The 23,243-nt window shown below is 39.9% G+C and overlaps 1 protein-coding gene and 1 long non-coding RNA gene across 6 annotated transcripts in view; one reads left to right on the top strand and one right to left on the bottom strand.

The window, feature by feature from the left end:
- The window catches only part of DIAPH1 (diaphanous related formin 1), a 103,980-nt gene that overhangs the window by 37,483 nt on the left and 43,254 nt on the right, over window positions 1-23,243 (top strand). For all 5 annotated transcript variants that reach the window (NM_001079812.3, NM_005219.5, NM_001314007.2 and 2 more), the window contains 11 exons: window positions 635-774; window positions 2,322-2,430; window positions 2,893-3,003; window positions 3,175-3,293; window positions 3,927-4,043; window positions 4,647-4,762; window positions 5,224-5,288; window positions 6,372-6,551; window positions 7,310-8,026; window positions 9,478-9,592; window positions 10,082-10,090. In NM_001079812.3, coding sequence (NP_001073280.1) covers window positions 635-774; window positions 2,322-2,430; window positions 2,893-3,003; window positions 3,175-3,293; window positions 3,927-4,043; window positions 4,647-4,762; window positions 5,224-5,288; window positions 6,372-6,551; window positions 7,310-8,026; window positions 9,478-9,592; window positions 10,082-10,090 — 1,798 coding nt within the window. The remainder of the gene's footprint in view (window positions 1-634; window positions 775-2,321; window positions 2,431-2,892; window positions 3,004-3,174; window positions 3,294-3,926; window positions 4,044-4,646; window positions 4,763-5,223; window positions 5,289-6,371; window positions 6,552-7,309; window positions 8,027-9,477; window positions 9,593-10,081; window positions 10,091-23,243) is intronic.
- Window positions 16,258-23,207, bottom strand: DIAPH1-AS1 (DIAPH1 antisense RNA 1). The gene is made up of 3 exons (NR_038333.1): window positions 23,031-23,207; window positions 19,613-19,716; window positions 16,258-18,453 (listed from the first exon to the last, which is right to left on the bottom strand). It is a non-coding gene; the product is annotated as a DIAPH1 antisense RNA 1 (long non-coding RNA).

Genomic DNA, 23,243 nt, shown 5'->3' with positions numbered 1-23,243 from the left:
CATATAAATCAAAGACTTTTATTCTTGGAAGACATCTAATTCTGTTGTGCCTCCTAGAAAATTATTTTGGTATGTTCATCTCTAATTATATTGGGAAAAGTATTCTACCCCTGTATTAATTTGCTAGTGTACCACAAAATTAGATATCTTAACAGAAATTTATTATCTCACAATTCTAGAGGCTAGAATTTCAAAATCCAAGGTACCAGCACGGTTGGTTCTTTCTGAAGCTGTATATGGTAATATGTTCCATATCCCTCCTAGTTTCTGGTAGCTTGTTGGCAATCCTTGGCACTCCTTATCTTGTAGATGCATCATCCTGATCTCTGCCTATGTGATCACATGGTGTTCTCCCTCTGTATGTATCCATATCCAAATTTCCTCTTTTTATAAGGACACTGGTCATATTGGATTAAGGACCCTTTCTACCCCAGCAGGACTTCATTGTAGCTTGACTAATTATATTTGCAATGAGTATATTTCCAGATGAGGTTACATTTTGAGGTACTGGGGGTTGGGACTTCAACACTGGAATTTAAGAGGACACCATTCAACCCATAACAACCCGTAAACTTGTCCCCCAGTTAGATGCTTTCGTCTTTCAGCCTCCTTTCTTTGTTCTTGGTCCTACCAGTTTGGAATCAAGACCATGTTGGAGACAGAAGAAGGAATCCTACTGCTGGTCAGAGCCATGGATCCTGCTGTTCCCAACATGATGATTGATGCAGCTAAGCTGCTTTCTGCTCTTTGTATTCTACCGCAGCCAGAGGACATGTATGTGACTGGAATAATTTTTCTTCTCCATTTTCAATTTTATCATTTTCTCTTAGTTCAGAGGACAATTGAGTTGGTTGGGTGTCCTCTCGGTCATAAATACTAGGTAAGATTGTGTTTCTTCCCAGAAGTGAACACTAAGCATCTTAAAATTTAAGAACAATTCCTAAGTGATGGGTGCTATCCTGAATGTTCCACTGGTCATCAGAGGTATAGCAAAATGTCTCCTATATCTCCATTAATATCTGTATTGTCTAGGATGAGGGTTTCTTTTTACTATTCTTTTTTTTTTTAATTCAGAAGTGGCACAATGTTATTTTTAAAACTCAAACGATATAGAAGTATATAAAGTAAAATTTAACTGCCTCATCCCTTTGCCAAATCCTATTCTGCAAAGAGAATGACTGTTAATGGCATGGTATAGTCTCATAGAACGTTTCCTAAGCATAGACAAACATATTGCGTTCCCTTGATTCTAGACATCTGCCACCGCAAAAGATAGTATCTTAAGAGCTGAGGAATGACACTTATGCCTATAAAACTAACTGCATATATAGGATAGATTTTTATTATTGAAGAGGGATTTGGTTTAACCAAAGCTAAATCATTCTTTTCAACCTGTTTCTTTTTAATAGTAGATCTTGGACATTTCTTCTATGTCGGTACTTACAGATCTACCTTATTATCTTTAGTAGCTATTTAGTATTCCATATACATGTATGTATGGCCTATAATTTATTTAACAATTCCCCTGTTGCTGGACTTACAGATTTTTTTTTTTTCCTTTTTTTTTTTTGAGACGGAGGCTCGCTCTGTTCCCCAGGCTGGAGTGCAGTGGCGCGATCTCGGCCCACTGCAAACTCCTCCTCCCAGGTTCAAGCGATTCTCCTTCCTCAGCCTCCCGAGTAGCTGGGACTACAGGAGTCCGCCACCACGCCTGGCTAATTTTTGTATTTTTAGTAGAGATGGGGTTTCTCCCTATTGGCCAGGCTGGTCTCGAACTCCTGACCTTGTGATCCGCCCGCCTCGGCCTCCCAAAGTGCTAGGATTACAAGCGTGAGCCACTGCGCCCAGCCAACTTACAGATATTTTTTAAAGCAGATTTCACTATCTGTTCTAGGTGATCATTTTTACAAATGATACTGCAGTGAACATCCTTGTGCATATCTTCTTTCACATTTATGCCCATATGTTGGATACATTTCTAGAAGTAGACTATATGTTACATGCATGAGAAATTGATTAGTACTGTTAAATGCCCCTCCAAAAGTTGTATCAATTTATACTTCATTGAATAGGGGACTTGATTTGGTATTTATGGACAGGAGCCTAGGGATGGATTGTAGGGAATGCATTTCCCTGAAGAGATGGTCCTTAGCTTTCAGCAGTTTCTGGAAACTGAGTGGTGAGAATAATAATGTGAGAAATCCGGAACACTGATAATGTCCTGTTTCCTAATCGGTCTGTGCCCCTGTGTAATTTACTCATTATACGTGTCCGTGTCACAGTACCTGGAAAGTTCTCTCCGTTTCCTTTCTCTTGGGCAGGAATGAAAGGGTTTTGGAGGCAATGACAGAAAGAGCTGAGATGGATGAAGTGGAACGTTTCCAGCCGCTGCTGGATGGATTAAAAAGTGGAACCACTATTGCACTGAAGGCATGTATATCCCCTGAAACTGGGCCCAAGAATAGAATTCAAGATGGACAGACTTAAATTCATTTGACCTTTTAATAAAATACATGGAGTGCCTCCCAACTATATATTTTACATTTCAGAATCTGTTATGAAGGGAAAATGATTAACCTTCTTTCTAAGAAGGTAAAGAATGAACTGTTTTCCTCATTATGAGATGGAAAAAGGCATGATATCTATTTACAATCTAGGAAAACCAAGACCTACAATAACATATACTCTCAAATCCTTGAAACCATTTAGAGTTTAGGCTCTCCGGATCTGTACTCAAACCAGGTCTCATTGCTATAGTAGAAAAGTCATCTTTAGAGTTTTTGTATTGTATCTTTCAGGTTGTATTGGGGACCTAAGAATGCATGTAAAGAAAATGGATTCTTGATCTCCAGGAGTTAGCATTGACATAGCTGCTGAATTTTCTTATTTTAGGTTGGATGCCTACAGCTGATCAATGCTCTCATCACACCAGCGGAGGAACTTGACTTCCGAGTTCACATCAGAAGTGAACTGATGCGTTTGGGGCTACATCAGGTGTTGCAGGTAAGATATTACACTTCATTAGAAAGGCTAGACTGGTTCCTTCTTGCTCTACAGCCCCAATAATCCCGGGGATAATTCTGGTTTTCAATTAAAAACCAGGTTGAAAAGCTTAGGTTTCTAACCACAGAGGATACTTTTGGGTTCCCTGACTTCTACTTTTGTTGTTGACAGGACCTTCGAGAGATTGAAAATGAAGATATGAGAGTGCAACTAAATGTGTTTGATGAACAAGGGGAAGAGGATTCCTATGACCTGAAGGGACGGCTGGATGACATTCGCATGGAGATGGAATATCCTTTTGCTGACTAGGTTCAAGGCAGATGAGACATTCATTGTATTTAGTTCCCTGATCCCTGTGTGGAATGGTTTGGGAGATGATGACTCAGAACAGAGCATCAGGCTTATGTGTCTTCTCATTAAATAAGGCAGGTGTATTTTTATTGCGCTGGCTTTACTTAGCTTATCATAGATCAGGGAAGTCAGTAAAGGTGATCTGAGGGTTGTTGAGCATGGAAGCCATCAAAATCAGTGTAAACTTCCTAGAATGTGATAGCTTAGCTTACTAAGATGTAGAACTGGCTTTTAGAGATGTTTGGACTGACAGAGGGAGTAATTTAGTTACCTGTTAATATTTTCAGTAAGTGACTTTGAGGCAGTTACCTCTTATTTTCTGTCTACTGCCTGATCTTCAAGCCAAGTACTTACTAGGAATCCTCTGTGTGTATAGTACCACCCAATTCACTGGTCCCTTAAAGGACGTTTTAGAAAGCTTAAAGTTTCTGGTGATGTTTACAGGAAGAACAGCCAGTAGAATGGAAGTGGTGTCTTGCTACTTTTCCCTAGCTTTTTCAAGAGTTAAATAAGCCACCTGTCAAACATAATTTCTGCATATTTGCTTTCCTTAGCCTATTTCCCTTTTCCACTGACTTTAATGAAGTCTTTCAGATTCTCTTAAACACAGTGAAGGATTCAAAGGCAGAGCCACACTTCCTTTCCATCCTGCAGCACTTACTCTTGGTCCGAAATGACTATGAGGCCAGGTAAGATGCTGTGCTTATGAGAAGTTTTGAATTTGAGCCTAAGTGGAGAGAGTGAATTCCTTAAATTCAAAGATTGTTCTGTAAAAGGAAAATGTAAAGACAAAGACCCAAGATTAGGGTTCATTAGTCACCGATATAAAGGAAGTTGTCTTATTTCTTTAATCCAACTCAAAGGCATCCCTATGGCAGAGGTCAGAGTGTATAAGGTGAAATGCCGTTCTGTTTTTGGAGGGGAGTAGGTAAATAGGATGAAGATGTTAGCAAACAGAAGTGGCAATTTAAAATTCTTTCTAGTTTCCTGGAAGTATAGATTTAGCAATAGCACTATCCATCACAGGAAGGATCAAACGCAAATTTTTAGATGGGAAAGTATTGGCACTAGGAGCGGATGGCAAGAAGTTTTGATTATTTGAAGTAGATAGGGTAGGGTAGCTGATGTGGAAAAAGGAGTTTTCTTAGCATGGCAGCAATACTTGTGTTAACTTTACAAAAGTTTTTCCAGGTCTCTCAGTTGTCAGAGCAATTACGTTTTCTTGGTCCTGAATACTTCTGAAAATTATATTTTGATTTTCCTTTGATGACCCTGTTTTTATTCTCTTGTAGACCTCAGTACTATAAGTTGATTGAAGAATGTATTTCCCAGATAGTTCTGCACAAGAACGGGGCTGATCCTGACTTCAAGTGCCGGCACCTCCAGATTGAGATTGAGGGATTAATTGGTAAGCATACTCTTCTATCTGGCTCCTCCAAGTATTGCTTCTTCCTTTCATTTTGCATCTTGTTTCAGTGAAAATGTCAGAGAAGATACCTTTCCAGTCCCCAGATAGTTCTATTTTTGTCCTTTCTTAGGTCATAACCAGCATCTTTGCTAGGAATCTATAGGTCTTTAGTTTATTTTTAGATAAAACACACACCAGCACCTTTTGCAGGAACTCCTGGTGGTCTCAGAGAGTCAAAAATATCACTCATAGGCATTCTTCTTGCCACCCAGCATGGTGGCCTTACCGCACACTCAGATTACATGTTGAACTTAACTGAAAGTTCCATTTCTTTGTCTAGTGCAGAACATTAAGAAAGATAATAAAAATGATCAAAAAGACTGTTCTTTGGAAGGGTGTAGTGTGAAAGAAATAGAACAAGAGAATTAGGAGCTTTACTTACTGACTCTTCTTCTTTTCAGATCAAATGATTGATAAGACAAAGGTGGAGAAATCTGAAGCCAAAGCTGCAGAGCTGGAAAAGAAGGTGCATATGAGAGACCAAAGACATGTGTTTGAGTATATCTTTCTTTGAGAATTATTATTTTCCTGATCTATGAGACAGTTTTCCTCTGTGGTATTTTGGAAGCGTTTAGCACCCAATAGTGTAGTTCCCAGGGGAAACCTTTCCAGTATAGGGTAGTCATTGGAGAAAGTGATATGGATGTCTTCATAGGGAGCTCTAGTGGTGGACTTTCAGTTCTTGGGCTACTGGGCAGGAAAAGAAAGACAGATGATACTCATGTAATAGTAATGGCACTCTCAGGTTTGCTTGGCATTTTAGGCCTCTTACCCCTAGAACAATAGGAACTGGGGTCCTTAGAGCAATAGAACTAGAGGATGTCTGAGTTCTCTTTTTCTCTTCAGTTTTTAAGAACGTTTATTGTGGTTAATAGGTTTTTGATCCTAGAGAATATTGGGATTGTACTACCATGGTCGTCCTCGTTAAATACCTTTAAAATCTTATTTTTTTTAACTATAAAAATAGGGAATCTGTGGAAATGAACTGATTCCCCTCTCCTTTAACCTTGTTTTATTTTCATTTTTATTTTTATTTGTTTTTTTTTTGAGACGGAGTCTCACTCTGTCATCCAGGCTGGAGTGCAGTGGCGCGATCTCGGCTCACTGCAACCTCTGTCTCCTGGGTTCAAGCAGTTCTCCTGCCTCAGCCTCCCAAGTAGCTGGGATTACAGGTGCCCACCACCATGCCCGGCTAATTTTTGTATTTTTGGTAGAGGCTAGGGTTCACCATGTTGGACAGGTTGGTCTCGAACTTCTGACCTCAGGTGATCCACCTGCCTCGGCCTCCCGAAGTGCTGGGATTACAGGTGTGAGCCACTCCGCCCAGCCAAACCTTGATTTTAAGGTCAGAATCATGGTGCTTTTTTCCCCCGAGCATGGCCTGGATTTATGAGCTCTGTAAATCAAGTACTGGCCCAGAACAGGAGGCAGTGGGGGGATTCCAGCACCCCCAGGCAAAAGAGGAGGTAGGGAGAATTATGGGTAATAATACTTGTGCTTCTTACTGAGATGGAGAGCTTGCTGGGAGCCTGATTCGTTTTTTCTCTAGTTGGACTCAGAGTTAACAGCCCGACATGAGCTACAGGTGGAAATGAAAAAGATGGAAAGTGACTTTGAGCAGAAGCTTCAAGATCTTCAGGGAGAAAAAGATGCACTGCATTCTGAAAAGCAGCAAATTGCCACAGAGAAACAGGACCTGGAAGCAGAGGTGTCCCAGCTCACAGGAGAGGTAATGCCTGAGCAGGGAAGGCAGAATGACCTGTAACCTCAGGATGCACATGGCTTGGAACAGGAGTCAGTCATCTCGCTCCTAGGGAGGGTTCAGCTACTAATAGGTAATCTAGTTACATGGTGCATATTTTAAAAATAATATACTGGTTTTTGGTTTGTGTTGGGGGTAAGTAATACATAAGACAGAAAATCTGGAAAATACAGAAAAACATTAAGAATAAAGTAAGTTTCATTACCACCCAGAAATAAAAGTAATAAGTCTCCTAATAAATTAGGAATAAAAACTAAACTGTTAAAAATTGACTAATTTCCTGTTATTTTAGTCACCTCTGCACAGATTTATCCTTACACACTCTCTCTGCAGTAGTAAATACTTAAATGATCTTTGATGTCTGATAACTTGATTACTTATGTGGTTATATAATCATCTGTGTAGCACATATATTAGTTATATAACTAGAACATTTAATTTACTTGACCTTTACATTTTCTAATCAAGGGAGGGTTTAACATAAAGGTTGAAATTGTCTTCTTAATACAAAGCATGCTGAACTAAGAACATGAAAACCTGAATTCTAGTTTTGGCTCTGCTGCCAAGCCGTGTGACTTTAGGTGATCATGTCATCTCTCTGACTCCTCTCAGTTCCTCCATTTGTAACATGAGAAGTTTGGATTAAGTAGTTTATTAGGTTCCTTCCAGTCCCAGTAGTCCCTGAAGTGGGGTGAGAAGTACTCACATTGATGTTATTTCTGTAGGTTGCCAAGCTGACAAAGGAACTGGAAGATGCCAAGAAAGAAATGGCTTCCCTCTCTGCGGCAGCTATTACTGTACCTCCTTCTGTTCCTAGTCGTGCTCCTGTTCCCCCTGCCCCTCCTTTACCTGGTGACTCTGGCACTATTATTCCACCACCACCTGCTCCTGGGGATAGTACCACTCCTCCTCCTCCTCCTCCTCCTCCTCCTCCTCCACCTCCTTTGCCTGGGGGTGTTTGCATCTCCTCACCCCCTTCTTTACCTGGAGGTACTGCTATCTCTCCACCCCCTCCTTTGTCTGGGGATGCTACCATCCCTCCACCCCCTCCTTTGCCTGAGGGTGTTGGCATCCCTTCACCCTCTTCTTTGCCTGGAGGTACTGCCATCCCCCCACCTCCTCCTTTGCCTGGGAGTGCTAGAATCCCCCCACCACCACCTCCTTTGCCTGGGAGTGCTGGAATTCCCCCCCCACCTCCTCCCTTGCCTGGAGAAGCAGGAATGCCACCTCCTCCTCCCCCTCTTCCTGGTGGTCCTGGAATCCCTCCACCTCCTCCATTTCCCGGAGGCCCTGGCATTCCTCCACCTCCACCCGGAATGGGTATGCCTCCACCTCCCCCATTTGGATTTGGAGTTCCTGCAGCCCCAGTTCTGCCATTTGGATTAACCCCCAAAAAGCTTTATAAGCCAGAGGTGCAGCTCCGGAGGCCAAACTGGTCCAAGGTAAGAGTTTCTGTCTATTTCTTCACCAGTCAATCTTTTTTTTTTTTTTTTTTTTTTGAGACGGAGTTTCGCTCTGTCGCCCAGGCTGGAGTGCAGTGGTGCGATCTCGGCTCACTGCAAGCTCCGCCTCCCGGGTTCACGCCATTCTCCTGCCTCAGCCTCCCGTGTAGCTGGGACTATAGGCGCGCGCCACCACGCCCGGCTAATTTTTGTATTTTTAGTAGAGACGGGATTTCACCGTGTTAGCCAGGATGGTCTCGATCTCCTGACCTCGTGATCCGCCCGTCTCGGCCTCCCAAAGTGCTGGGATTACAGGCGTGAGCCACCGCGCCCGGCCCACCAGTCAATCTTAAGAAACAGTTTCAGTTTTCTACTTTGTATTTTGTGCATGGATGGGCTACGCCTTAAGGCTTTCATCTTTCTATCTTTAAGCTTCACTCATGCTTATGTTTATTCAGGAGATATTAGGCATCTTCTTTATTCCATACATCACCACGGAGAGTTCTGTGAACCCTGTATTCTGAATTTAATCTTAACTTAATGTTTTTTGCCTTTTCTCTGAGGCTGTGAATACCATGGTAACACACAGTTTGATAATAGTCATTCACCAGTCTGCAAACTACTGATAATTGTGCTGATCCCAAAGTCATGGATTTATGAATCCACTCTCCTATCCCAATTCCGCAGGATGTGAGTTACACAGGCCATTTTTTTTTTTTTTTTTGAGTTGGAGTCTTGCTCTGTTGCCCAGGCTGGAGTGCAGTGGCATAATCTCTGCTCACTGCAACCTCAGCCTCCTGAGTAGCTAGGATTACAGGCGTGTGCCACCATGCCTGGCTAATTTTTGTATTTTTAGTAGAGATGGGGTTTCACCATGTTGGTCTGGCTGCTCTCGAACTCCTGACCTTGTGATCCGCCCACCTTGGCCTCCCAGAGTGCTGGGATTACAGACGTGAGCCACCACACCTGGCCTACATAGGCCATATTTGCATGCACAGTATTGTTCCCATGATGTGTTTGAGATGCCTGTGATTCTGAGTGAGTTAGCCTTTTTCTTCTAGAAACCAAGTTAATATAAAGGACCTTAGGGATTTGCTCATAAAATGAGCAAATTTGGCACAGTTAGCCAAACTGGTGGGAGAAATTTAATGATGAGCAAGACTTCTCTGAAATAAAGCCTTAATGGTTATGAAGCTAGAGGATTTGGAGTTAGGAGGAGGATACGTAGTATATATATGAATCTAGTTCTTGAATAATCACCAATTAACAGATGAACTGGAAGTATTCTCTCCTAATCCCACTGCAGCTATTCTGTGCCTCAAGTTAGTCTTATTCTAGTAAGACATTGCTGATAATCAGCCAGCCACCTATTTTACAGCCTCATCCGTTTTCTAGGACGGAAAGTACAGGGCTCAGTTTACTAATTCTTAACACCCTGCCTTTATCCACAGCTTGTGGCTGAGGACCTCTCCCAGGACTGCTTCTGGACAAAGGTGAAGGAGGACCGCTTTGAGAACAATGAACTTTTCGCCAAACTTACCCTTACCTTCTCTGCCCAGACCAAGAGTGAGTACCTTCCTCTTTGATGCAAAGGTCCAGTGTAGGGCTTAGAATATTTTTTCATTAGGTTTCCTATTCCCTTCCCTTCCCTGGGTGAAGATAGAAAGGGTATGTTGGATGGAAGACTGATGGATTTTCCCATTCAAAAGAAAGAAAAGATGTTTTTGTATTAAATATTATGGAGTTACTTGGTTTGGGAAAGAGAACTGTTGTATGTAGGTATTTTGTATCAGTATAACTTGTTAGGGATATGAGATTAAAGTGACAGAGCTTGATTTGGGCCCATTTTGATACTTTTGAACAGATTCTGGCACTGCCTTAAGGTGCAGTTTCCAGTTCTAAGTACATAATTAATAAGGGTTGGAAAGAGTCTTTAACAGTTTGGGTGACTGAGTGACTGTCTACAGTAACAAGAACCATATGTGATTCCTTTTCTTCCTTCCATTTCTTTCCAATATTGGATGCCTTCTCCCTCCTGGCACTTTGCTCCTGAAGCTTCCAAAGGTAAGAATACAAAAGAGCCTTTTAGTTTGGTCTCTTGAATATTAGAGAAAAAGATGAAATAGATATAAAGGAATTTCTCATTAGAAAACTGAGACCAGAGATTGAGGGTTGACTTGTCTTTGCTAGGTGTTTTTTGTTTTTGTTTCCTCCCCTGGAGTTCAAAATGACCAATAGCTTTGGCATTAACTAATAGGGAGGAAAGTTTGCTTCCCGTTAAACTACCACATACTTAATCTCTTTAGAAGGTGAGGGACAACGTAAGCAATAATACTATTACCTTACATTTGTGCTGTTTTACAATTTTCATAGTGCCTTAACATATATGACCCTATTTGATATGCAGAGAAGCCTTATGAGACAGGCAGGATGTGTATCATCTCCATTCTGTAGCATATATAGACTCTGAACAGTTAGGTAGCTTTCCCAAGGTTATGTGATCAGAACCAGGAGTCTTGACTTCTGGTCCATTTTTTCTATATAAATTCTTGATTTTCTTTTTTAGCCTTCATATGGTTCCTTTTATTTTACAAGAGCTGATCTACTTTGCCCTCTTCTTTCTTGACTTCCTAATTCTTGTGGTTTTGTGCTACCTTGTGATAGGGTACTTATAGTTACTTCCCCTGAGATAGTATTTGAAAGATTGTGTCATGTATAATGACAATTATAGCCCAATAATTTCATATTTTTATCTTCTTCCAGCATTTTTGTTTGTTTAGAGGCTTACTATGACCCTAGTGATGAAAATTAAGTGCAACTTTGGAGCATTTATTTTCCCCACCTCCCCCTAGTCAATTAGTATTTTTAAAGGCAATTCCTTTTTTTTTCCTTAAGTGATCTGATGGAAACAGGCTGCACTTTGTTCTAATAAGGAGTCTAACAGATTGTGAGGTGCCTTGGTGGCCCCTAGTTACATATGTGTGTGTGTGTATCTAGGAGTATAAGACCATAATGCTCAGATCTGTCTTGTTGCCCTGTCATTCAGGTCAAAATGGCCTTTTCCTCTAAGAAAATTGTCACCTTCCATGCCAAAGTCCAGCCTAAGGGATTAATTCCACTCTCTTAATTAAAATACTGGGATGGTAACCACATATACTGTATTAGTCTATCAATAAAGACTAGTTGACAAAGTCAAAATTAAATGATTTTCTAATTTGTAAGTTCACAGAATCCCTATGTTGGCCTCTGGCATAAGTTTCTTTCTTGAGTCTGGGCTCTGCACTTTTAGTGCCATTGCAAATGAATACTGACTGGGCCCCTTTTCTCCCCCCACCCCCATCCCCATCTTTTTATTTGGTGCATTTGTATTCCTATTAATTCTAGTTGGGTTTTATACAGTTTAGTGGTCTTCCTTGGCATTATATTCTCATTATGAATTGGGATATGGTAGTATTTTTTAAAATACCAAAGTGGCCCCCTTAGTCACAAAAGGCCAATAAAAAGAAAACTTTAGTAAAAGATCTTTGTGCTTCTTATTTAGAGTTTAGGTTTTTGTCAGATAAGGAATTTCAAGCTCTCAAAAATTGCAAGCACTCAGAAGACCCAGATCTCCTCAGTATGACAGCAAGTATACTTTACTTCAGTGCTTTAAACATCTCTAGTATTTATATTTCAGAAAAAGATCTTCATCCTTAACTACTTTTATTTTTTTTATTTTTATTTTTATTTTTGAGACAGAGTGTTGCTCTGTCGCCCAGGCTGGAGTGCACTGGCGCGATCGTGCTCACTGCAGCCTTCGCCTCCCGGGTTCAAGGGATTCTCCTGCCTCAGCCTCCTGAGTAGCTGGGATTACAGGCACCCACCATCATGTCCAGCTAATTTTTGTATTTTTGTAGAGATGGAGTTTTACCATGTTGGGCAGGCTGGTCTTGAACTCCTGACCTCAGGTGATCTGCCCACCTTGGCCTCCCAAAGTGCTGGGATTACAGGCATGAGCCACTGTGCCCGGCCATCCTTACTACTTTTTAAAAGTAATTCTTGAATACTGAATTGAATATTGAACCAGTTCAGTTTGAATGCTGAAGCCAGTGTCAGTTACCAAGTCTCTCATTCATAGTCTTGATATTGATGATATAATTAAATGATAGATAACTACTCATTATCAACCTTGTAAATATTTCATCTTCCAGATGAAGTAGTGACATAGATTAGATAACTTTTTCCAAACTGTATAAAAAGTGTCAGAATTCAGACTCCAAACAGTGACTCCAAAGTCCTTGCTCTAGCCTTCTACTTCTTAGGAAGTGTGTATGTACTTGCCCTAAGAGCCTCTGAAAGCTTAGATCCAGACAAAAGCTGCAAGAAAGGGGATATGCCGCCTTCAGGAACCACTTCATTCATTCAGACGCAAATGTCCTTGAATTGGCAGTGACTGAGTAGAAAAAAGGGAACAATAATAGATTAAAAAAAGTAAGTGAGATACTAGATATTTAGGGTTATAAAAGAGAAGGCATATTCTGACTGTATTCAACTCTAGCAAAACTAATCCAGTTGAAGAAATAAGACATGTTTATCTAGTAGAAGCACTGCTTAGGTGATTTCAGTCCAGGTGGTTGCCAGTATTGATGAAGAAGTTATTTGGACACTGGGTTTTCATCATATTGCATTATTTCCTCTCTTGCTTGCTAAACACAACTCTGCTATTTGTTAAGCATGCCTGTATCCCCCTTATGTTTTATTGATACCTAAAACCTTCGGTATACCTACTGGCCCCTCCAAGAATGGGCATTGAAGAAAGCACCTGCCTCACTCTGCACATTTGCCTCCTGTAGTGAAAAGTCTCCTGTTACACATATTCTGAAGCAGAATATGTGTGCCTTTTTACAAGAGAAGAGCTGAGAGACAGGAACTGGTCCTAGAATATTATACTCCAGATTCTTTTACACATTATTTCTCTTTTAAGGATTAGTGTCTTGTTTCTGAAGGCTTTGTTTCCCATAAATGAGGTATTTACTTACTCAGTTAACTTATTCCCTGCCAGAGAATATTTTGAATTTACTTTTGATAGGCAGTGCCATAAAACTTCTGGTCCTTTTTCACATTCTCACTTTCCTTATAGTGATCAGCAAGGAGTCTTTGTTGACTCTTTTTGAATTTCTTGGAAATAGGTCCAATAGTTAAATTTCTTTTTTTTTTTTTTTGTTTCATTTTCTCCAAGGGAGCATTTTCATTGCTGTAGTAGCCTTAGGCAGCTCATTATTTGTATGTACAAGATAAACTAGTTTTTCATTTTCCATTTCTTCTCTTCGCTGTCTTTTGTTGATTATGTGATCATTACACTACCACCTCTTGAACCATAGCATGGTGAGTGATAACTCATGTCTTAAATAAATAGTACAGTGACTTTTATTTTTAGGTTTATTCCTTCCTTCCAGAAACAATATGGAACATTAGACTTGTTAAAGTAAGAGGTGTGTTATGTGAACTGTGAGCATCAGAACAGTTCTCCAAATATTTAATGGCAGTAATTTAGAAAAAACTCTGGCTAAAAAGACCTTCACTAAGAATTGAGAATTTTATTAAAAAATAACAGTATTCTAGTTAGCATTTGACTGTGTGGGTCCAGTACTGTTGTTCCAGAAGTCAGAACTGTTAGCCGTAACAGATAGGTTTACCTGTCTGCTGCCCTGACATAATTTTCTTGCTTCAGGCTTCAGCAGGAGCCCCTTTCCCAAAAAGAATCTGAGGGTCTTTTTCTTTTTCCCTGTGATATCTCTTCTGTCCACTAGGTGGCACTCACCCAGTTGCATCTTTATTAGTGAATTTTTGTAGCTTCTGCAGCTTTAACCTTTAGCAGCAAGGTTTTGTGAGAGCTCAGCCTGCTCTACCTTGTTCAGTGAGTCTCTTAGCAGAAAGATGTCTGTTCCATCAGTTTCTTATTCCACTCAAATCGGTAAGATTAGGACTAGAGGTACTAGTCAAGTGAACACTTGTTGGGAGTCTTACCTTTTAATTACTTAGCTTCTCTTGGGTTTTGAGTAGGGTCAGACTACTAGCACAAAGAAATTGGGAAGTTCTATAATATCAAGATAATAGTCCCTTGTGATTTAAAAATATAAATCTATCCCTATTATCTGGGGTTTCCAGAACTTCTTCACATGGAAAAAGTACCATACCTCCTCCAGGTTGTCATCTCACTGTCACTAGTGATATAAAAAAGGAACCTAAACTGCCCCCTCATATACCCCTCTACACCCCAACCTTTCCATCACCATTTTCTTTTAATCCACTGGATCTAATATTATGCCATTTATCTTGGTTTATGTCACTTACCACAGGCAGCCCCAGACTCCTGGGTCATCCTTCATCTCCCATAGTTTAATTGCGATAAGGTTCTGTGTGGTTCCTATTCTGTCTCCTCCCATCCCACCTAAGCTCCTGAAACTGGTCCACTGTACCCTCTGGAATTCATGGTCCATTACTGGCAAAACCTTTTTCACTTTGCTCTACTGGAAACCTGGTTTTCTCTCAATACCACTTTCCCTTTTGCTTGCTTATGTGGTTTTGTTTTGTTTTGTTTTGTTTTGTTTTGTTTTTGAGATGGAGTCTTGCTCTGTTGCCCAGACTGGAGTGCAGTGGCAAGCTCTCAGTTCACTGTAGCCTCTGCCTCCTGGTCACAAGCAATTCTCCTGCCTCAGCCTCCCGAGTAGCTGGGATTACAGGTGTGCACCACCACACCTGGCTAATTTTTGTATTTTTAGTAGAGACAGGGTTTCACCATGTTGGCCAGGCTGCTCTCGAACTCCTCACCTCAGGTGATCCACCCATCTTGGCCTCCCAAAGTGCTGGGATTACAGGCATGAGCCACTAGGCCCAGCCCATGTGATTGTTTTTCTTTGTTCTCATAGACCTCACCCCAGTGGGCTTGGAGATGGGGTAGATGTAATCTTTGTTATTCATTGCCACTCTCAGATCATTTTGCCTCTTTACTAAAAGGAAACAATTCCTAAAAACCAACAATTTCAAATCTTATGACATCGTTATGTCACCCATTTTCTCTTCATGTTGTCATCTACTGACACCCGTGTTACTCCTCATTTCTCAAACAATTTAGCTCTTGACTCATATCCACTCTTCTATACTCCAATACTACCTCTGACTTAATTCTTAGGAATTTTTATACGAAAAGGTCATGATCCTACCAATATTCTGGCCTTTCAGTTCCTTGAATTCTTCTACTGATTTTGTCCTCTATCCTACCTCAACCATTCCCCCGTTCTAGGATCTCATGTCATACCACCCAGGTTCTATCTTTTTACCTTACTCCCTTTGCTATCCTGACCCCAACAGGCCTCCAGCCCCGCTAATCCATTTGTCCTACCAGCATTTCACTGTCCTTCACTTTCTGATGACTTCACTCTTTCCCTGAGCTAAAATTTCTTGGTTAATCATTATAATCATTCGCTTGGGTTTTGTTCTTCCATTATCTCTCTCATTTCATACTCGATTGGCAAAACCACAATCCCGGTTAATTCCTTTTCTGTCTTTGTCCTGCTCCTGTAGCTGTGCAACTGAACATGGCTGGAGAATACCACAAAACTGGGCCCTCCTTTGACAGACTTTCTTCTCTTAGCTTTCAGGACAGGAAACACTTACTTTTCCTGCTAACTCACTGGCTGATCTTTCTCCCAACTCTCCTCTGCTTAATTTGTGAAGTTGCTTGGCCCTTGATACTGCCAGGCACTCATATTTGAAGCATTACAAATTCATTGAATTTCCTGCTCTCCTAAAGGTTATTTCACACCTTTTTTTCCTCCTCAACAGCCCAAACCTCCCTCATCCTCATTCTCAGTTGGGGATGTTTTCTTTCTACTTCACTGACAAAATTGAAGCAATCAGAAAAAGGAACTTCTAAAGACTTCCATCATTACTTTTACCTAGCAGAATTCTGTCTTCCTCTGTTACCATGGTCCTGTCTAAAGCCAGTTCCTGGACTAATTTGTTATCATCATTTTAACAAATATGTAGAATACACTGGAAATACAGGGTAAAAAGGTGTCCTCCCCCAGAGTGACTGTGGTTAAATCATACTTTTTATATACATATGTTATTCTAATAAAGGAATGGGAAAATCCTTTTCTTCTTTAGTTCAAGTGAGAAAGGTAAATTTTTGAATAAAACTTTACTGGAAAAGGGGCAAGGGAATTAAAAATAAAATTACAGAAACATGAAGGTATACACACTTCTTTTTTAATATAATTGGTGTGATCTTATACAGTATATACTGTTTTGTATTTTGCTTAACGTGTTTTAGCATCTCGATGTCCTTACATATAGATTTGTGTCATTATTTCTGATAGTTGTATTCTGTCATATAATACAAATAAGTTTTCCATTTTTTTATTACAAGCAATGCTGAAGGAAACATCCATTTTTAATTGTCTTTGCAAACTTGTATTTCTGCACAGTAAATTCTTAAAAATAAAATCTGTGGGCCCAAGTTGCTAGGTATAAGATTGTAGCAATTTATACTTCCACGAAAAATAAAAAAATATTTATGGTAATGTCTAGTAGGGGAAAAGTGATATGTTGTTTTAGTCTGACCACTAATAAGATTGCACCAGGGGTTATCTTTCTTACCTTGACTCTATCTGTAAAGTGAGATACATGAACCTAAAAGGTATCTTTCAGTTTTAAACTTCTGGTTCTGTTACTTTTTTTCCTTGCAATAAGCTGTCTTTGGTGTTATCTGTCATGTCAAACTCTTCTTTTGTTTCTGACAGCCTTCCAGGTCCTTTTGTTATTTTGTTTGTTTTGGTCTGAGTTTCATTCTCTTACTCTATGCACCAAAGGTCAGGCATCAGGAGCTGCTGCTTGCTTACAGCCAGTGTTTAGGAGTATAGAGCTAAACTGGGGCAAAACTTTAAAACTATTGCGCGAAGGCTGCTGATGTAGTTTCCACAGAAGACTTACTATTGGAGATTTAAGGGACTGCATCATCAGGTAAAGGAATTAAGTTTTAATTTTCTTCTCAACCGTGGGAATTTGATATTTTATTTCTAGCAGTGTGCTTTACTGCTTTCAGCCACCAGATGGCACATGGATCCCTTTTATTTTAGATGTGTCATTGTTGCGTTTGGTAGTGATGTCATCACGTTAGAGAGAGGCAACCTCTGTCCTTTCCAAATACAAGCTGATTAGTATACTGCCCTCTACCTGTCAGGAAATTTATTTGGAGGACTGATCAGCAGTTAAATTATGCAGAAAGCTACAGCTTGCCCTTTTACAAAAGGATCTTGTCCTGTTGCAGCTAGTATTTTCAATAGTAGCAATATTCGTGTTCTTTTTGGGGTCCAGAGGCTGGAAAGGTTTTTGTTCTTTAGTCTGATACCTTCATGAAAGCATAGCCTTCCTTTGAGAGGGCTCAAAGAGAGGTTTGTATTTTATCAGCTTGGTAGCTCATTGTAGCCTCATTATATACACACTCATAATCCCATCTCTGTCTCAGTTTCTGCTGAAAAACTACTTTAAGCGCATAATAGAACCTACCCACATTATATATGGATAACTAGCTTGAGATAACATACTGAATCCATTTCTTCAGGGAATTCCCCTGGTCTAACTTGGATAGAATATGCTGGTGCAGAAAGATTTTCACGGTCAAAGTCAACCCTTTGTGTCATATGTTAACTCCTAATTATCCCCAGCTAGTCTCATTTTTAGAGCCTCTTTCTAGCCATCCCAGCTTTAGTGTGTGCCTGTATTACTCTTTTCTAGAAACATATAGACTGAAATGGTATCTTTTAAGTCCAAGGTACCATCTGCCATTATCTGTGGATTCCAGATTTTATTTCTAACCAAATGTCCTTTTAAATGTCATTGTCTGAGACTTAGACCATCTAGTTGGGGGGTCAGTATTACTTAAACTTCTAACATCTTGGTACAGTCAGTTCCTAGCCTTAAATGTCTGTTGATACCAGTAAATCTCAAACTTTAGTATAAGGATTACATGAGGAGCATGTTTGTAACATGTAACATGTTTACATGTTAATGGTGTGAATTAAGCCACTCTTCACCTGTTCTCTTAATAATATTTTGGTATCTGTATCTGAATAGGTATTATATAAGTATTATCCCTGTTCTTATGGAGGTCATATGAGATTGATTAGGAAACAATTCAACATTTTCTGTTGACTTGGCAGTCAATTTTGGAGTCACTGTTTCAGAGGCACTTTTCTTGCCATCTTCCAAACTTCTCAGTAGCCATCTTAGAAGGACATTTTGAAGAAGTCCTCTGTGGTCAGTGAACTAGCTCGGAACCACTTAGAGATTGACTCTGCTGGAGAGGATGGATGGAGGGCAGAGTGATTAGGGCAGAGTATTGTGCTGGACTGGGGCTTGTACAACACGGAAGGAGTTGTGAGAAACTGGAGGAGATAGAAATCAAGATGAAGAATGTTACAGTTATACAGACATAACTTTTGTTCAAGCTTGGTTATTCTCTTGCTATGGAGACCTGGAGTTGGTAGACATCAGAGATGTGTTTAGGCAAAGAAATGGGATATCTAGCAAGTGTCAAAGCAGAACTAAGGATTGGGGTGAACAAAAGAGTGATCCAGTGCTCTCTTACTACATACTAGAACCCAAAACTGTTGCCTTAAGGAAAAGGCACTGTTTTGAGGATCCCTTGACCTTACACTATTTGGGAATTGTTGGACCTGAAATGACTTTGCTGCTGATGCTGAACAAGTCTCCCTCCAAACATAAGGTTGTAGACAGGCTAGTTTGCAAGGAGTGCTAAGGATGTCTCCACAGAATGTTTCCTCTGGGGCTTTTCTTTCAGCTTCTCTGTTATCTGTTTTTTTTTGTTTGTTTTTTTTTTTTTGCATAGGTAAGTGGTTCAGAAGTCAAAACAGTATAAAAAAGTCTCATTCCCACCCTAGTATTCATCCATGCCATCCTTCTCCCTCCCCTACCTTCTAGAGGTAACCATTTTTATTAGTTTGATTATCCTTTAGACTTTCTTAAAAAGTGCAGTTATAAACAAATACTGATACAGATTCTTGTCCTTCCTCTTACCAAAACAAGGAACATACTATCTGTACTGTTTCTATACCTTGCTTCTATATCCTGGAGAGTCTTCGTATCAGTATGCAGAGACTTTCCTCATTAAAAAAATTATAAGTTTTTAATAAGCAGGCATTACTTTTATAATGAACACAAGGATAAAACAAAAGTAGAGTAATGAAATAATTGTTCTTTTTTTTTTTTGAAACAGTAGCTACAGTAACCCATTTGATCTGACTGCATCTTAGCATGTATACATGTCCTTTTGATCTTCCTAAAAAAAACTCATACATAACAATGAATTGAAGAGTTAGTTACCCACATCAGCTCTGTAAATGTATGGCAACTTATGCTAGAGCTTACAGCCATTATGATATGGGGAAGAGAGACTTGCAAAGTTCAGCCAGGGGACCTTCCAGACTTCACTCGAGTGTGATACTTGAACAGGAGGAGATCTTTGTACTGCTAGCAAAGGGATGCTACTCTATAAAAGGTCTTTAAAGGAAAGGAGTGGCCTACCTTATTTTTTTCTTGCTTCCATTTCAGTTTTTGTTCTGGAGATGAATTGCTCTAGAACTTAGTGTCCTGTAACTGTTCCATGTATTAGAACTCTCGCCCATTGCCTTTGGAGCAGTGTGGAAGAATGCTTGTGATTCAGTGTTTGGTGGGAAAAGCAGGAAACAAATTATGTACACCTTATTACAATTGTTTCATATTAAAAACAAATGCATTAGTGAAAGATTAGAAGGGAATATACCAGACTACTGTAACAGAGATTTTGTTAGGGTACTACATACTTTCTCTTTTAATTTTTCTATAATGTGGTTATATTGTTTTTATAATGAAAAAGACACAGGGTTAAAAAGGAAATTTCAGTGTCTGACATGCTTGGAGAAGATTCTAGAGCACTTCTAGATTTCTAGAAGTACTTGGACCTGAGATTTCGTCTGCCAAGCCAAGTACTAGCATTCAGTTCTATAAAGCAAGTAACAGTATCCTTTACTTCACTCTTAACAGTTTCTTTTTGAAAAAACAGACTCCAATGTAAAAAAAAAAAAAACAAAACTCTTTTCACTTCTAAGTACCATTGGACAAGGGACCCCAGTGATATAACAGAAGGGCATTGGTAACCCCATTTCTGCAAGATGGGATGGAACCATTCTTTCCTCCTGATCCTACAATAACCCCAACTCTTCTTAGAGCCAGTGATTTCTTCTTTTAGATCTATTAGATGGGAAGATACGGCACTCTCCTGTGTGTGTGTTTGCATTTCTTTTAGCAAGAAAAACTGCAAAAATCCTTCCCAAGAATTTCCCGTTTTTCCTATTCTGCTTGCATTTTTCTTTTCGGCCACGGGGTGCGCGCAGTTGAGCTATTTTGGCTCAGGTTCCAGATTGTGAGGTCAGAGACTAGGGATTGGAGGAGAAGATCAGGTGACTTTCAGTAACAGAGATGGCGGTCCTCCCATCTCCACCCCTTCCCCCCCTCATCTTTCCCCACCCTTTCCTGGCTTCCACCTCAGGAACAAAGAAGGGAAAAAAACAGCAGTATGACGAAAACCAGCAGCTGTCTCTGCAGGCTCAGGCTGGGGGCTGGGAGTTTATTCCATCTGTTCTCTTTGTTCTGCTCTTACCCTGTTACTTCCCTTCCCAACCCTGAATAAAACAGAATATTTCTAGAATCCTTTGTTATGGAGAATGGTTTAGAATTCTGCAGTTTACTCAGTATTTATTTAGGTTAGCGTGGGTGAGATACAGCAGAGATTAAAACTGATCTGGAGCACCTAAAAAAAAGATGAAGGTACTTTGCCTTCTCATTCAGTCTTAAATTATGAATACCTATTTAATGTCAGATTTGTGACAGGGGATTATCAACTATTATTTCCAATTATCAAAACATTATTTCCATAATGCCTAATTGGTATTATCTTTGTTTTATAATTGAGAGATATAAAAGAGAATTAATATGTCCTTTGCTTGTTAAGATTTTATAGCAAGTAAACACCAAGCCAGAATTTGAGCCTAGATATATTGGGCTCAAATCCAGCACTTAGTGAAAGGGAGTGGCAAGAATGCAGGCATGTTGAGAGAAACCTCAGGTGCTTGCTTCCAGTGACTGACAGTGTAAAGTAACTGTGCTAGTGCTTCTTGATTTTTACCAGTGATTAGTGTCCTGATTTCTTCAACAAATAAATTTCAGGGGAAAAAATGAGATGGAGAGGAACATATAGATTAAGAGGGAATTTTAAATTTTATCAACCAGTACAGTATATGGAACTTATTTAGATCTTGATCCAAATGAACTATACAAAACACTTGACAGTTGAGACAGCTGGAAATTAGTGTGATAATGGTTTCATGGCATTTTTTAAAAAGTCATCATCTTTTAGAGATGTGTACAGAAATAATTGCGGATCATTATGGGATTTAGAAGTGGGGTGTAGATGAAACAGAATTGGTCACGAGTGGATAACTGTTGAAACTGAGTGATGTATGCATGGGGATTAATAATTGTGTTTTTGAATGTTTAATTTTTCCCATAATAAAACATTTTTTAATCCAGGAAAAGAGTTTTATTTCTAGTACCTTATTTTAATGCCTTTTCTTCTGCCCTCTAGCCTATTGTTTCCTTGCATAAACCTGTCCTCTTTGCTGACATACCTGAGTCCTTGTTTGGGATAGTGCCTGTCCTTCCAGTCCTTCCCCACCCACATCCTAGAAGCAGACCTCTTTTTAGCACTCCCTAATTGAGTCACCATCCTGGGTGTGCTGGGAAAGTATCTGTGGGAAACTCAATGACTATATTATCTGAAAGACCAAATGCTTGGTGAAGTGCCCAGATTTTTAATACTGCTTTTCTGCTACCCTTCCAGACTTATATCTGTCCCCTTCTTTATAACTCTCAGCATCTGGTTCTTCCTTTGGGATTCTGTGTGGCTTTGTTCTTGTCCTTTAGGTTTGTTCATTAATGCCAGTTTGCCCTGTCCCTCCTTACAGCTTGCACATCTGTAATGGTCTAGTTCTGTGGGATTTTGCAGATAGTTGTATATTTTGGCCAAGGTATCAGTGATACGGTTACCTTTGGGCAGGGATAACTGCTATTCGGTTGGCATGATATTTTTTCCTTCTATAATGTATACCTTAGTGATTGTTTTAAAGTGCTGAATTTATCCCTTATGTATATTACAACCATGAAGAATATAAATCAGAAGTCCTCCATTTGGGCAGCTTCTTATATTAACACTTATATTAACATTAAGACCCTCTTACTGTCTCCTCTTCCCAGAATTAGAGAGTTGATGTAGTGCTTAATAGACATGGCTTATTGTATGCTAGGTGAACTTGGCAATTCCATAGCTATGTTACCCTCACAGAAAGTTATTTCCTGGAGAGATTATTAAGTGTTCTGATCTTTCATATATGCCTGAGAGATCTAAGATTCTTCCACAAAGACCCTATTTCTTCAGAGAAAACTATAGTGATGCCAGAGTCTTTTTTTTTTTTTTTTTAACAACTTGTGATTTTTGTGCACCTGTGTTGTATGTGTTGCCATTATCTCACTTTAGGGACGTTGGATAAACTGGCGTATTTGTGCAGCCTCATTTAAGTAGTGGCAACCATTAATGACTTGTACCCACAAGTTTTTCCAGATAATTTCTGTTTTTTCCACCTTTCTTACATGTTCTTTTTTAGTCATAGGTACTTGGCTTACTCAAGGGAGGTGTAGCGTAAGATAAAGATAATGGAGGGTGTTCCCTGTAGAATAGGTACAAATGCTGCAGGCTTTATCTTGGGCAGAGCAAGTAGGGTTTTGGTCCTGAGTAAGTGAGTGAGGTTAGGTGGAGCTGCCTGTCTTCCAGCCGTGCGGATACAACTGACTCAGTCCGTGTTCTCAACAGTTTTTGAAAAGCCCATTTTTCTATCCCACTTACTCCCACCTGCAGTTCTTTAAGAACGTAGTTTCCAGGATGTCAGGCAACTCCCCACTCCTCCATTTCCTGTTTGTGGTCTTCATTGAGAGACGCCTTAAACAGGAATTCCTGGGGAAGTGCAGGCTATAGCGGTGGGATTCCGGGGGTCATTAGTCCATTATTGAAGCTGGGGAATCATGTACTATAAAAGGACCTCCCTTCCGTTCTGTTGTCTCCTAG

Source organism: Homo sapiens, chromosome 5, assembly GCF_000001405.40.
Source record: "Homo sapiens chromosome 5, GRCh38.p14 Primary Assembly".
Lineage (NCBI taxonomy): Eukaryota > Metazoa > Chordata > Mammalia > Primates > Hominidae > Homo > Homo sapiens.
Note: the sequence above shows the minus strand (reverse complement) of the source record. Positions and strands in the feature narration are given on the sequence as shown.